The sequence below is a fragment of the Homo sapiens genome, chromosome 11 (genome assembly GCF_000001405.40).
Source record: "Homo sapiens chromosome 11, GRCh38.p14 Primary Assembly".
NCBI classification, from domain to species: domain Eukaryota; kingdom Metazoa; phylum Chordata; class Mammalia; order Primates; family Hominidae; genus Homo; species Homo sapiens.
In genome coordinates this window covers 130,248,115-130,263,519 of record NC_000011.10, presented here as the reverse complement: position 1 = coordinate 130,263,519, position 15,405 = coordinate 130,248,115, and the positions used below count along the sequence as shown (strand labels likewise).

At 40.8% G+C, this 15,405-nt stretch overlaps 1 protein-coding gene across 24 annotated transcripts in view; it reads left to right on the top strand.

Moving 5' to 3' along the window:
- ZBTB44 (zinc finger and BTB domain containing 44) overlaps nucleotides 1-15,405 on the top strand; it is an 88,241-nt gene that overhangs the window by 51,398 nt on the left and 21,438 nt on the right. For 22 of the 24 annotated variants that reach the window (XR_007062477.1, XR_007062476.1, NR_163264.1 and 19 more), the window contains exon 2: nucleotides 1,591-2,664. The exons of the other annotated variants lie outside the window; for them this stretch is intronic. Coding sequence is in view for 17 of the 22 variants with exons in the window: in XM_047426846.1 (XP_047282802.1) it covers nucleotides 1,647-2,664 (1,018 nt within the window). In the remaining 5 variants the exon portion in view is untranslated. The remainder of the gene's footprint in view (nucleotides 1-1,590; nucleotides 2,665-15,405) is intronic. 24 annotated transcript variants of the gene reach the window in all.

The window sequence follows — 15,405 nt, the reverse complement described above, 5'->3', positions numbered from 1 at the left end:
TAACTAATTCACTTGCTCTGAAAGCATGTTTCTTCCCTCAGCCACATGATCCCAAAGTAAGCACTCTCGAAGGCCATGCTTTAAAAGCAGAAGCTAGTCTCCTGGGATGCAATAAATGAACAAAACGCTTTATATATAGCCCTCCCATTTTCTTTCTTTCATCTCATTTTTGTGAGACCTAAATCAGCAAATATGTTACATGATGGTTTGCGTAGACCAGTCCCTGGCTGTCTAGTGTCTCATTGTGGTCAGTTGACTTCAGGAAGGGTATGTGGAGCACTCAGTTTACATTCGAACTTCTGTTACTAATTATGGTCAAGATAATTATTTCAGTAGCTTTACCTGGCTGCTTTGGAACAGAGATTTATGCCTTATCCTTTTGTGAAGTCTGACATGGAACAGTCTCAAATTGATCATTTTGTCTTCTCAAGTTAGAATAGTCTGTGACTTATATTTTTTTAGACGGGGTCTTACTCTGTCACCAAGGGTGGAGTGCAGTGGTGCAGTCTCGGCTCACTGCAACCTCCACCTCCCAGGCTCAAGTGATCCTTCCACATCAGCGTCCCGAATAGCTGGGACTACAGGCCCATGCCACCACACCCGCCTAATTTTTATGTGTTTTTTTGTAGAGACAGGGTTTTGCCATGTTGGCCAGGCTGGTCTTGGACTCCTGAGCTCAAGCAATCCGCCTGCCTTGGCCTCCCAAAGTGCTGGGATTACAGACGTGAGCCACCACACCTGGCAACCTTTTTAAATTCATCTTGAAATCTTTTTTTTTTTCTTTCCACTTCCTTTTTTTCTTTTTCCCATCTTTCTTTTCCTCTATACATTTACCTGCATAAAACATTAACAGGGATGATTATGTAATGGATTGTTCAGTGTTTACACTGGCATTGCCTGCTGCATGCTCACATTTAGAAACAGGAATGATAATACGCCTACTGATAGAGATATGATGACAATCAACTAACTATTAAATGTGAAGCATTTCAAATACTGTCTGGCACATAGAAGACACTCTATAATTGTCATTATTTACAAACTGTTGCAGCCCTGCAGCTCATTAAAACGCTGGTTCACAGGCCGGGCATGGTGGCTCACACCTGTAATCCCAGCACTTTGGGAGGCCTAGGCAGGCCTATCACCTGAGGTCAGGAGTTCAAGACCAGCCTGGCCAACATGGTGAAACCCCATCTCTACAAAAATACAAAACTTAGCCAGGCATGAGGGCGGGTGCCTGTAATCCCAGCTACTCGGGAGGCTGAGGCAGGAGAATTGCTTGAACCCGGGAGGCAGAGGTTGCAGTGAGCCAAGACCACCCCGCTGCACTCCAGCCTGGGCAACAGAGCAAGACTCTGTCTCAAAAACAAAACAAAACAAAAAAAAACATTGGTTCACAGACTTCACTGATTGGACAGTTTGGAAGGCAGATAAGGAGAATATATTTCTATACAGTCCCTACCTTGAAGTTTCTCTGTCACTACCATCTTTCAGCTTTTTAATTTAGTACAGTGGCCACATGAAAATGATCTAAATCACATTTTAAACCACTAAAATATCAATTAATGCTTTATTTTATGTATTTTTTAGGACATTTCTGATTTATTTGCATCCTTGAAGAGCATCTGTAGAAGAGGAAGTAAAAGATGGGTGTGAAAACATTTACTCATAGCTCCTCTTCCCACAGCCAGGAAATGCTTGGAAAGCTAAATATGCTGCGAAATGATGGACATTTTTGTGATATCACTATTCGTGTCCAGGACAAAATCTTCCGGGCACATAAGGTGGTACTAGCAGCTTGCAGTGATTTCTTTCGCACCAAACTTGTAGGCCAAGCCGAGGATGAGAACAAGAATGTGTTGGATCTGCATCATGTTACAGTGACTGGCTTTATACCTCTTTTAGAATATGCTTACACAGCCACTCTATCAATTAACACAGAAAATATTATTGATGTTCTAGCAGCAGCCAGCTATATGCAAATGTTCAGTGTTGCCAGCACCTGCTCAGAGTTCATGAAATCAAGCATTTTATGGAATACACCCAACAGCCAACCTGAAAAGGGTCTAGATGCTGGACAAGAAAATAATTCTAACTGCAATTTTACTTCTCGAGATGGGAGCATTTCTCCCGTGTCCTCAGAGTGCAGTGTGGTAGAAAGAACCATTCCTGTCTGCCGAGAATCCCGGAGAAAGCGCAAAAGCTACATTGTTATGTCTCCTGAAAGTCCTGTAAAGTGTGGCACACAAACAAGCTCACCCCAGGTATTGAATTCTTCAGCTTCCTACTCAGAAAATAGAAACCAACCAGTTGACTCTTCCTTAGCTTTTCCTTGGACTTTTCCTTTTGGAATTGATCGAAGGATTCAGCCTGAGAAAGTTAAGCAAGCAGAAAATACCCGGACTTTAGAATTACCTGGCCCATCTGAGACCGGTAGAAGAATGGCTGATTATGTGACTTGTGAGAGCACAAAAACTACCTTGCCTTTAGGTACCGAAGAAGATGTCCGGGTCAAAGTAGAAAGATTAAGTGATGAGGAGGTCCATGAGGAAGTGTCCCAGCCTGTCAGTGCATCTCAGAGTTCGCTGAGTGATCAGCAGACAGTTCCAGGAAGTGAACAAGTCCAAGAGGACCTTCTGATTAGTCCACAGTCTTCCTCTATAGGTATAATGCCTTCTGTGTTTTTCTTGGTGCTATAAAGTCAATTCAAACATTTTTAAGTTCCTGTTAGATAAAAAGTTTTGTGCTCGGTCATATAGGAAATATAAAGAAGAGTAAAACATGGTAACTGGATTTGCTTGAGATGCTATTAGCACTATCGTTTATTTTTTACAAGTTGCACATTGGGGAAGATAAAAATAATTGAATGGTATCTGCTGGGACAAAGGCAGATACACATACACAAAAAAGCAGTTAAATCCAGTTTGTGTTTTATTCTTCATTAAAATATGTATTGAAAACTTACCATGTGCCAAGCAAACATTTATGATACATAAAGAAAAACACATAGTCCCTGCAATGACAATTAGGTTAATCATCTAATTGGGGAAGCAGATATGAAAGTAAATGATTACAGTGAACTATCAAAAGTGCTCATCTGGAGGTGTGAACAAAGTAGTATGGTTGCAACAAAGGAAAGAGCAAGTTACACTATATGTTTGAGTGGGTCTTATGCAATAAGTAAGAGTTTACCCAAGTGTGGGAATGTCATTTCTGTGAAAACATAAAAACACAGAACATATATGCAAACACAGAGGTATGGAAGAGCATTGTGTGTTTGGTAAACAGTGAATTCAGTGCAAAATGATGTAAGTAAGTACAGATGCCTGAAACTGTAGGGAATAGTGGGAGATCAGACAAAAGGAGTGGTTGAGCGCAGGCTGTAAAGAGCCTCGAATCCTAGTTTCAGTAGGGGTTGCATTTAAGTGCAGGTGATGGAATCCCTTCTGCAGTAACTTAACTGTAGCAGAGTTTTATTTATTTTTTCTTTATTATTTATTTATTTATCTTTTTAGATTGAAAATAAAATGATTTATAGTTGTTTTCTCTGGCAGTATTTTTTTCTTTTTTTTAATTCAAATTCTGGGGTACATGTGCAGAACGTTCAGTTTTGTTACATAGGTATACACATGCCATGGTGGTTTGCTGCACCCATCAACCCTTCATCTGCGTTACGTATTTATCCTAATGCTATCTCTCCCCTAGCCCCCCATCCCCCAACAGGCCCCACTGTGTGATGTCCCCCTCCCTGTGTACATGGGTTCTCATTGTTTAACTCCCACTTATTAGTAAGAACATGTGGTGTTTGGTTTTCTGTTCTTGTGATAGTTTGCGGAGAATGATGGTTTCCAGCTTCATCCATGTCCCTGCAAAGGACATGAACTCATTCTTTTTTATGGCTGCATAGTATTTCATGGTGTACATGTGCCACATTTTCTTTATCCAATCTATTATTGACAGGGATTTGGGTTGGTTCCAAGTCTTTGCTATTGTGAATAGTGCCGCAGTAAACATATGTGCGCATGTGTCTTTATAGTAGAAAGATTTATAATCCTTTGGGTGTATACCCAGTAATGGGATGGCTGGGTCGAATGGTATTTCTGTTTCTAGATTCATGAGGAATCGCCACACTGTCTTCCACAATGGTTGAACTAGTTTACAGTCCCACCAACAGTGTAAAAGCATTTCCTATTTCTCCACATCCTCAACAGCATCTGTTGTTTCCAGACTTTTTAATGATCACCATTCTAACTGGTGTGAGATGGTATCTCATTAAATTTCCATATGAAATTTAAAGGAGTTTTTTCCAATTCCGTGAAGAAAGTCAATGGTAACTTGATGGGGATAGCACTGAATCTATAAATTACTTTGGGCAATATGGCCATTTTCACGATATTGATTCTTCCTATCCATGAGCATGGAATGTCTTCCCATTTATTTGTGTCCTCTCTTATTTTCTTGAGCAGTGGTTTGTAGTTCTTGAAGAGGTCTTTCACATCCCTTGTAAGTTATATTCCTAGGTATTTTATTCTCTTTGTAGTAATTGTGAATGGGAGTTCACTCGTGATTTGGCTCTCTGTTACTGGTGCACAGGAATGCTTGTGATTTTTTATCACAAAGTGTTCAGGAATAAAAGTCCAGGGCTGGTACAGTGAATCTGCAATATAATCAGTGGCCTAGGCAACTTGTATATTTATAAACTGCCATCTTTACTTTGTTGGTTTCATCCATAAGATGCTCATTTCATCTTCAGCTTTGTATTCTAGAAAGGGGCAATGCTTTGTATCAAGAAAGCACCTATGTTCTCAGAAATCCCTAAAAAACTTCTGCTAGTCTGTGTCACATAGTCTTTCCTAGCTGCAAGGGAATCTGGGAAGATAATGTATATTAGTTGGGTACCTAAATGCCTTGAACAAAATTAGAGCAAAATGGATATTGAGTATGCAACTAGCAGTGTCTGCCACAAGTAGGCCAAGTAAGCTTGGATTTTATCTTAGTGGTAGGTAGTAAGGAGTCTACATTAAAGGGATAAAAACAAAAACATGCAGATATTTTAGGAAAACTGTTATTGACATGCAGTGAGTTTGGTTTTACAGAGACAGTCTCAGAGACCAATTGCAGTGCACTTATCTTGGTGTGAATGAAGACTTAAAACCATGTGAAAGAAAATAGATATTACAAGACTTTGTAAAGAAAGACTTAGTACCTGATGATACTGAATATGTATATTGAAAGAACAGGAGAGGTTAAAGTACTCTGATGACTAGGAAATAATGGTAACACTTTATTATATTCCATTGATTCTAAGTCACAATTTTTCATATTTTGTTATTTCTGAATCCAGATATGTCTTACAGTTGGCAGTCTTCTACAGTTGCTTTTTTCTTCCTTAGTGCTATAGAGAATAATGGCAATCATATGAATCAATAGCATTTTAGCATCTATTAAATGTAGTTAGTGCCGTATGAAAATCAGTGGAAGGTGGTGGGAATCCAGTTTTGAGAGTAAATTATCAAGGTCACTTCTGTGTAAATTGTGCTTGGATGATGATCAAGCAGTGTCATTTCAAAAGCAGTAGAAAAGATAAGTGAGATTCCCAACTTGGGACTTTTCTACTAGTAGTGGCAAATTCAATCTCAATAGGAAAAACAGAAGAGCCAAAACCAAGGGGATACCTTGGGGAATACCTATATTCAGGTTTGGGAAGGGATAGAAGAAAAGCCACTAGTGAATAATAAAGATTTGTCCAAAATATTGGAGAACCGGGAAGACCATATTAACTTTGTTAGTTTCTTGTGCTTTTACCCTCTGTGTGAGTTTCCCTGGGCTGCTGCAACAAAGTACCGCAAACTGAATGGTTTAAAAAAAATTTATTCTCTCATAGTCAGAGGCCAGAAATCTGAACGACAGGTGTTAGTTCCCTTTGAAGGATCTTTCTCTCTTTGAAGATTGTAGGGAAGAATCCTTCCTTGTCTCTTCCAGCCTGTGGCAGCTGCCCACAATCCTTGGTGTTCTTTGGCTTGTAGCTCCAGTATATGATATTGTGCTTTAGTATATGCGTTCGTCTTCACATGACCTTCCCTGTCTCTCTGTTTTGCCACTGGCTTCAAATCTCTCTCTCCCTAAAAGGACACCAGTCATTGGATTCAGGTCCCACCCTAATCCAGCATGACCTCATCTTAACTTGATTACATCTGCTAAGACCCTATTTCCAAATAAGGTCACATACATTGGTAGCAAGGATTAAGATGTACTTTTTCTTTTTTTTTTTTTTTTTTTTTAAGATCTGGGATGCATGTGCTGAACATGCAAGTTGTGTTTTTGGGTATTTTATTTTCTTTGTAGCAATTATGAATGGAAGTTCACTCATGATTTGGCTCTCTGCTTGTCTATTACTGGTGTATAGGAACGCTTGTGATTTTTGCACATTGATTTTGTATCCCGAGACTTTGCTGAAGTTGTTTATCAGCTTGAGTTTTGGGGCAGAGACAGTGGGGTTTTCTAAATATACAATTATGTCATCTGCAAACAGAGACAATTTGACCTTCTCTCTTCTTATTTGAATACCCTTGACTTCCTCTCTTCCTATTTGAATACTCTTTCTTTCTCTTGCCTGATTGCTCTGGCCAGAACTTCCAGTACTGTGTTGAATAGGGGTGGTGAGAGAGAGCATCCTTGTCTTGTGCCGGTTTTCAAAGGGAATGCTTTCTGCTTTTACTCATTCGGTATGATACTGTCTATGGATTTGTCATAAATAGCTCTTAATATTTTGAGATATGTTCCATCAATACCTAGTTTATTCAGAGTTTTTAGCATGAAGGGGTGTTGAATTTTTATTTTTAATTTTTATTTATTTATTTATTTTTGAGACGGAGTCTCACTCTGTCACCAGGCTGGAGTGCAGTGGTGTGATCTCAGCTCATTCAAGCAATTCTTCTGCCTCAGCCTCCTGAGTAGCTGGGACTACAGACGCATGCCACCACACCCAGCTAATTTTTGTATTTTTAGTAGAGATGGGATTTCACCATGTTGGCCAGGATGGTCTCGATCTCTTGACCTCGTGATCCGCCTGCCTCGGCGTCCCAAAATGCTGGGATTACAGGCGTGAGCCACCACGCCCAGCCAGGGTGTTGAATTTTATTGAAGGCCTTTTCTGCGTCTATTGAGATAATCGTGGTTTTTGTCATTGGTTCTGTTTTACGTGATGGATTACGTTTATTGATCTGCGTGTGTTGAACCAGCCTTGCGTTCCAGGGATGAAGCCAACTCGATCCTGGTGGATAAGCTTTTTGATATTCTGCTGGATTCAGTTTGTCAGTATTTTATTGAGGACTTTCACATCAATGTTCATCAGGTATATTGGCCTGGTATTTTCTTTTTTTGTGTTGTGCCTCTGCCAGGTTTTGGAATCAGGATGTTGCTGACCTCATAAAATGAGTTAGGGAGGAGTCCCTCTTTTTCTGTTGTTAGGAATGGTACCAGCTTCTCTTCGTACCTTTGGTAGAATTCAGCTGTGAATCTGTCTGGTGAATCTGTCTGGTGCTGGGCTTTTTTTGGTTGGTAGGCTATTTCAGGAGAGTTTATAGCATGAAGGGGTGTTTTTTTTTTTTTTTTTTTTTTTGAGGTTTTGCCTCAACTTTAGAATTTGTTATTGGTCTATTCAGGGATTCAGCTTCTTCCTAGTTTAGTCTTGGGAGGGTGTATATGTCCAGGAATTTTCGTCTAGATTTTCTAGTTTATTTGCGAAGAGGTGTTTATAGTATTCCCTGATGGTAGTTTGTATTTCTGTGGGATCAATAATGACATCCCTTTTATCATTTTTTATTGTGTCTATTTGATTATTCTCTCTCTTCTTTATTAATCTGGTTAGCAGTCTGTCTATTTTGTTAATCTTTTCAAAACACCACCTCCTGGATTCATTAGTTTTTTGAAGGGCTTTTCGTGTGTCTCTTTCGGTTCTGCTCTGTTCTTAGTTATTTCTTGTCTTCTGCTAGCTTTTGAATTTGTTTGCTCTTGCTTCTCTAGTTCTTTTAATTGTGATGTTAAGGTATAGATTTTACATCTTTCCCACTTTCTGATGTGAGCATTTAGTGCTATAAATTTCCCTCTCAACTGTGCTTTAGCATGTCCCGGAGATTCTGGTACCTTGTCTCTTTGTTCTCATTGGTTTCAGAGAACTTCGTTATTTCTGCCTTAATTTCGTTATTTACCCAGTGGTCATGCAGGAGCAGGTTGTTTAGTTTCCATGTAGTTGTGCAGTTTTGAATGAGTTTCTTTTATTATTATATTATTATTTACTATACTTTAAGTTCTAGGGAACATGTGCACAACGTGCAGATTTGTTACATATGTATACATGTGCCATGTTGGTGTGCTGCACCTATTAACTCGTCATTTACATTAGGTATATCTCCTAATGCTATCCCTTCCCCCTCCCCCCGCCCCACAACAGGCCCCAGTGTGTGATGTTCCCCTTCCTGTGTCCAAGTGTTCTCATTGTTCAATTCCCATCTATGAGTGAGAACATGCAGTGTTTGGTTTTTTGTCCTTGTGATAGTTTGCTGAGAATGATGGTTTCCAGCTTCATCCATGTCCCTGCAAAGGACATGAACCCATCCTTTTTTATGGCTGCATGGTATTCCATGGTGTATATGTGCCACATTTTCTTAATCCTGTCTATCATTGATGACATTTGGGTTGGTTCCAAGTCTTTGCTATTGTGAATAGTGCCACAATAAACATACGTGTGCACGTGTCTTTATAGCAGCATGATTTATAATCCTTTGGGTATATACCCAGTAATGGGATGGCTGGGTCAAATGGTATTTCTAGTTCTAGATCCCTGAGGAATCGCCACACTGACTTCCACAATGGTTGAACCAGTTTACAGTCCCACCAACAGTGTAAAAGTGTTCCTATTTCTCCACATCCTCTCCAGCACCTGTTGTTTCCTGACTTTTTAATGATCACCATTCTAACTGGTGTGAGATGGTATCTCATTGTGGTTTTGATTTGCATTTCTCTGATGGCCAGTGATGATAAGCATTTTTTCATGTGTCTTTTGGCTACATAAATGTCTTCTTTAGAGAAGTGTCTGTTCATATCCTTCTCCCACTTTCTGATGGGGTTGTTGTTGTTTGTTTTTTTCTTGTAAATTTGTTTGAGTTCTTTGTAGATTCTGGATATTAGCCCTTTGTCAGTTGAGTAGATTGTAAAAATTTTCTCCCATTCTGTAGGTTGCCTGTTCACTCTGATGGTAGTTTCTTTTGCTATGCAAAAGCTCTTTAGTTTAATTAGATCCCATTTGTCAATTTTGGCTTTTGTTGCCATTGCTTTTGGTGTTTTAGAGATGAAGTCCTTGCCCATGCCTATGTCCTGAATGGTATTGCCTAGGTTTTCTTCTAGGGTTTTTATGGTTTTAGGTCTAACATTTAAGTCTTTAATCCATCTTGAATTAATTTTTGTATAATGTGTAAGGAAGGGATCCAGTTTCACCTTTCTACATATGGCTAGCCAGTTTTCCCAGCACCATTTATTAAATAGGGAATCCTTTCCCCATTTCTTGTTTTTGTCAGGTTTGTCAAAGATCAGATGGTTGTAGATGTGTGGTATTATTTCTGAGGGCTCTGTTCTGGTCCATTGGTCTATATCTGTTTTGGTACCAGTACCATGCTGTTTTGGTTACTGTAGCCTTGTAGTATAGCTTGAAGTCAGGTAGTGTGGTGCCTCCAGCTTTATTCTTTTGGCTTAGGATTAACTTGGCAATGCAGGCTCTTTTTTGGTTCCATGTGAACTTTAAAGTAGTTTTTTCCAATTCTGTGAAGAAAGTCATTGGTAGCTTGATGGGGATGGCATTGAATCTATAAATTACCTTGGGCAGTATGGCCATTTTCACGATATTCATTCTTCCTATCCATGAGCATGGAATGTTCTTCCATTTGTTTGTATCATCTTTTATTTCATTGAGCAGTGGTTTATAGTTCTCCTTGAAGAGTTCCTTCATGTCCCTTGTAAGTTGGATTCCTAGGTATTTTCTTTTCTTTGAAGCAATTGTGAACAGGAGTTCACTCATGATTTGGCTCTCTGTTTCTCTGTTATTGGTATATAAGAATGCTTGTGATTTTTGCACATTGATTTTTGTATCCAGAGACTTTGCTGAAGTTGCTTATCAGCTTAAGGAGATTTTGGGCTGAGACGATGGGGTTTTCTAAATGTACAATCATGTCATCTGCAAACAGGGACAATTTGACTTCCTCTTTTCGTAATTGAATACCCTTTATTTCTTTCTCCTGCCTGATTGCCCTGGCCAGAACTTCCAACACTGTGTTGAATAGGAGTGGTGAGTGAGAAAGGGCATCCCTGTCTTGTGTCAATTTTCAAAGGGAATGCTTCCAGTTTTTGCCCATTCAGTATGATATTGGCTGTGGATTTGTCATAAATAGGTCTTATTATTTTGAGATACATCCCATTAATACCTAATTTATTGAGAGTTTTTAGCATGAAGGGCTGTTGAATTTTGTCAAAGGCCTTTTCTGCATCTGTTGATATAATCATGTGGTTTTTGTCTTTGGTTCTGTTTATATGCTGGATTACGTTTATTGATTTGCATATGTTGAACCAGCCTTGCATCCCAGGGATGAAGCCCACTTGATCATGGTGGATAAGCTTTTTGATGTGCTGCTGGATTTGGTTTGCCAGTATTTTATTGAGGATTTTTGCATTGATGTTCATCAGTGATATTGGTCTAAAATTCTTTTTGTTGTGTCTCTGCCAGGCTTTGGTATCAGGATGGTGCTGGCCTCATAAAATGAGTTAGGGAGGATTCCCTCTTTTTCTACTGATTGGAATAGTTTCAGAAGGAATGGTACCAGCTCCTCTTTGTACCTCTGATAGAGTGAGTTTCTTAATCCTGAGTTCTAATTTGATGGCACTGTGGTCTGAGAGGCTGTTTGTTACGATTTCCGTTCTTTTGCATTTGCTGAGGTGTGTTTTACTTCCAATTATGTGGTCTATTTTAGAATAAGTGCCATGCGGTGCTGAGAAGAATGTATATTCTGTTGATTTGTGGTGGAGAGTTCTATAGCTGTCTATTAGGTCTGCTTGGTCCAGAGCTGAGTTCAAGTCCTGAATATCTTTGTTAATTTTCTGTCTCGTTGATCTGTCTAATATTGACAGTGGGGTGTTAAAGTCTCCCACTATTATTGTGTGGGGGTCTAAGTCTCTTTGTAGGTCTCTAAGAACTTGTTTTATGAATCTGGGTGCTTCTGTATTGCGTATATATGTATTTAGGATAGTTAGCTCTTCTTGTTGCATTGATCCGTCTGCCATTATATAATGCCCTTCTTTGTCTTTTTTGATCTTTGTTGGTTTAAAGACTGTTTTATCAGAGACTATGATTGCAGCCCCTGCTTCTTTTTTTTCTTTCCATTTGCTTGGTAAATATTCCTCCATTCCTTTATTTTGAGTCTATGTGTGTCTTTGACCCACATGAGATAGGTCTCCTGAACACAGCACACCAATGGGTCTCAACTCTTTATCCAGTTTGCCAGTCTGTGTCTTTTAATTGGGGCATTTAGCCCATTTACATTTAAGGTTAATATTGTTATATGCAAATTTGATCCTGTCGTCATGATGCTAGCTGGTTATTTTGCACATTCATTGATGCAGTTTCTTTATAATGTCATTGGTCTTTGTATTTTGGTGTGTTTTTGCAGTGGCTGGTACCAGTTTTTCCTTTCCATATTTAGTGCTTCCTTCAGGAGCTCTTGTAAGGCAACCCTGGTGGTTACAAAATCCCTCAGCATTTGCTTGTCTGTAAAGGATTTTATTTCTCACTTATGAAACGTAGTTTGTCTGGATATGAAATTCTGGATTGAAAATTCTTTTCTTTAAGAATTTGAATATTGGCCCCCACTCTCTGTAGAGAGATCCGCTGTTAGTCTGATGGCTTCCCTCTGTAGGTAACCTGACCTTTCTCTCTGGCTGCCCTTAACATTTTTCCTTCATTTCAACCTTGGAGAATCTGATGATTATGTCTCTTGGGGTTGCTATTCTCGAGGAGTATCTTAATGATGTTCTCTGTATTTCCTGAATTTGAATGTTGGCCTGTGTTGCTAGGTTGGGGAAGTTGTCCTGGATAATATTCTGAAGTGTGTTTTCCAGCTTGGTTCATTTCTCCCTGTCACTTTCAGGGACCTCAGTCAATCGTAGGTTTGGTCTTTTCACATAGTCCCATATTTCTTGGAGGCTTTGTTTGTTCCTTTTCAATCTTTTTTTCTCTAATCCTGTCTTCATGCCTCATTTCAGTAAGTTGATCTTCATTCTCTGTTATCTTTCTTCCGCTTGATCCATTCAGCTATTGATACTTGTGTATGCTTTGTGAAGTTCTCGTGCTGTGTTTTTTAGCTCTGTCAGGTCATTTATGTTCTTCCGTAAACGGGTTATTCTAGTTAGCAGTTGCTGTAACCTTTTGTCAAGGTTCTTAGCTTCCTTGCATTGGGTGAGATAGAACATGCTCCGTTAGTGGAGAGGAGTTTGTTATTACCGACCTTCTGAAGCCTACTTCTGTCGATTTGTCAAATTCATTCTCTGTCCAGTGTTGTGCCCTCGCTGGAGAGGAGTTGCAGTCATTTGGAGAAGAGGCATTCTGGTTTTTGGAATTTTCAGCATTTTTGTGCTGGTTTTTCCTCATCTTCGTGGATTTATCTATCTTTGATCTTTGAGGCTGGTGACCTTTGGATGGGTTTGGATGGGGCGTCTGTGTGGAGGTTCTTTTTGTTGATGTTGATGTTGATGTTATTGCTTTTTGTTTGTTAGTTTTTCTTCTAACAGGCCCCTCTTTTGAAGGTCTGCTGCAGTTTGTTGGAGGTCCACTCCAGACCCTATTAGCCTGGGTATCACCAGCGGAGGCTGCAGAACAGCAAAGATTGCTGCCTGCTGCTTCCTCTGGATGCTTCATCCCAGAGGGGCACCGGCCTGATGCCAGCCGGAGCTCTCCTGTATGAGGTGTCTGTCACCCCTGTTGGGAAGTCTCTCCCAGTCAGGAGGCATGGGGGTCAGGGACCCACTTGAGGAGGCAGTCTGTCCCTTAGCAGAAGTCAAGCACTGTGCTGGTAGAACCCTCCTTGTGAGTATCCGCTGCTCTCTTCAGAACCTGCAGGCAGGGACGTTTAAGTCCACTGAAGCTGCGCCCACAGCCGCCCCTTCTCCCAGGTGCTCTGTCCCAGTGAGATGGGATTTTTATCTATAAGCCCTGACTGGGGCTGCTGTCTTTCTTTCAGAGATGCCCTGCCCAATGAAGAGGAATCTAAAGAGGCAGTCTGGCCATAGCCACTGTGCCACACTGTGTTGAGTTCTGCCCAGTTGGAACTTCCAGGCCTTTTTAGCGCTGTCAGGGGAAAACCAACTACTCAAGCCTCAGTAATGGCGGATGTCCCTCCCCCGACCAAGCTTGATCGTCCCAGGTCAACTTCAGACTGCTGTGCTGGCAGTGAGAATTTCAAGCCAGTGGTTCTTAGCTTGCTGGGCTCTGTGGGAGTGGGACCTGCTGAGTGAGACCACTTGGCTCCCTGGCTTCAGCCCCCTTTGCAGGGGGCTGCAAAGGTTCTGTGAATGGTTCTGTCTCACTGTGGTTCCAGGCACCACTGGTGTGTGAAAAAAGAAGAGCTAGCTTGGTGTCTGCCCAAACAGCCGCCCAGTTTTGTGCTTGAAACCCGGGGCCCTAGTGATGTAGCACACGAGGGAATCTCCTGGTCTGCGGATTGCAAAAACTGTGGGAAAAGCGTAGTATCTGGGCCAGATAGCACAGTCCCTCACTGCTTTCCTTGGCTCCTTGCACTTCCTGGGTGAGGTAACGCCCCACCCTGCTTCTGCTCACCCTCTGTGGGCTGTACCCACTGCCTAACTAGTCCCAGTGAGATGAACAGGGTACCTCATTAGAAATGCAGACACCTGCCTTCTGTGTTGGTCTCACTGGGAGCTGCAGACTGGAGCTGTTCCTATTCGGCCATCTTGCCAGCAGCCAAGACGTAGTGTCTTTCTGGGGGAAATAATGTCACCCACAGCAGCCACTGAAGTTCATATTCCTGAATTGGGGTCAAAATAGTTGTGAAGAATTTACATGAACACACATCCAACAAAATATTTAATTTCAAGAAATCATAGCTATTTGTTGATACAACCAAGTTTTTACTAAACTACCAGAGTCAGTAATTGAAAACACCTTGGTACCTTCTGAGTAACGAACTGCCTACTGAATAATTATAATTTTAATCATTTAAGAAAGTAGGAACCCAAATATTAATCTGTCTAAATATCTAAGATATTGAGTTAGGCATGTGAAATAGTCATCCTTTACCACTCCCAAGTATATATAATCAGTTCAGGTTTTGCCTTTATGATAGTTTTGTTTTTGTTTGAGACTGAGTCTCACTCTGTCACCCAGGCTGGAATGCAGTAGCATGATCTCAGCTTACTACAACCTCTGCCTCCTGGGTTCAAGCAATTCTCCTGCCTCAGCCTCCCAAGTAGCTGGGACTGCAGGCACACACCACCACACCCAGCTAATATTTGTATTTTTAGTAGAGATGGAGTTTCACCATGTGGGCCAGGTTGGTCTCAAACTCCTGACTTCAAGTGATCCACCCACCTCAGCCTCCCAAAGTGCTGGGATTACAGGCCTGAGCTACTGCACCCAGCCCTTTATGATGTTATTAACAAGTTAATAAGTAGAACAAATCTTTCAGTTATATAAGTAGAATCTGTTACCTATATATTATTATAAATGGATTCTATAAAGCAGACATGGGAACTGCTCTGAATCAGATAATCCCAATGTGGTTTGTTTCTTGTGTTTTTTTGTTTTGTTTTTGTGGTTTTTTGAGCCAGTATCTTGCCCTGTTGCTCAGGCTGGAGTGCTGTGGTGTGATGTCAGCTCACTGCAACCTCTGCCTCCTGAGTTCAAGTAATTGTCCTGCCTCAGCCTCCCAAGTAGCTGGGATTACAGGTGCCTGCCACCACACCTGGCTAATTTTTGTATTTTTAGTAGAGACAGGATTTCACCATGTTGGCCAGGCTGGTCTCGAACTCCTGACCTCAAGTGATCGCCTGCCTCAGCCTCCCAAAGTGCTGAGATTACAGGCGTGAGCCACCATGCCCAACTCCAATATGATGTTTTTTCCTTGCCTTCATGGCAAATGTACTAATCACTCTCAACAAACCAATCTTAACTCCAAACTTGCATACTAAAACAAAGCCATACAGAAAATTCCTTGCGGTATTGAAGGCAGTCAGTAAATTTGAGAGGGAGAAAAGGAAGATGTGCATGGTACTTTTTCCCCTGTAAGTTCCATAAGAGTATTTAATTTTACTTACTAATTTGTTAAAGAACATCTCTGAGAGGTATCT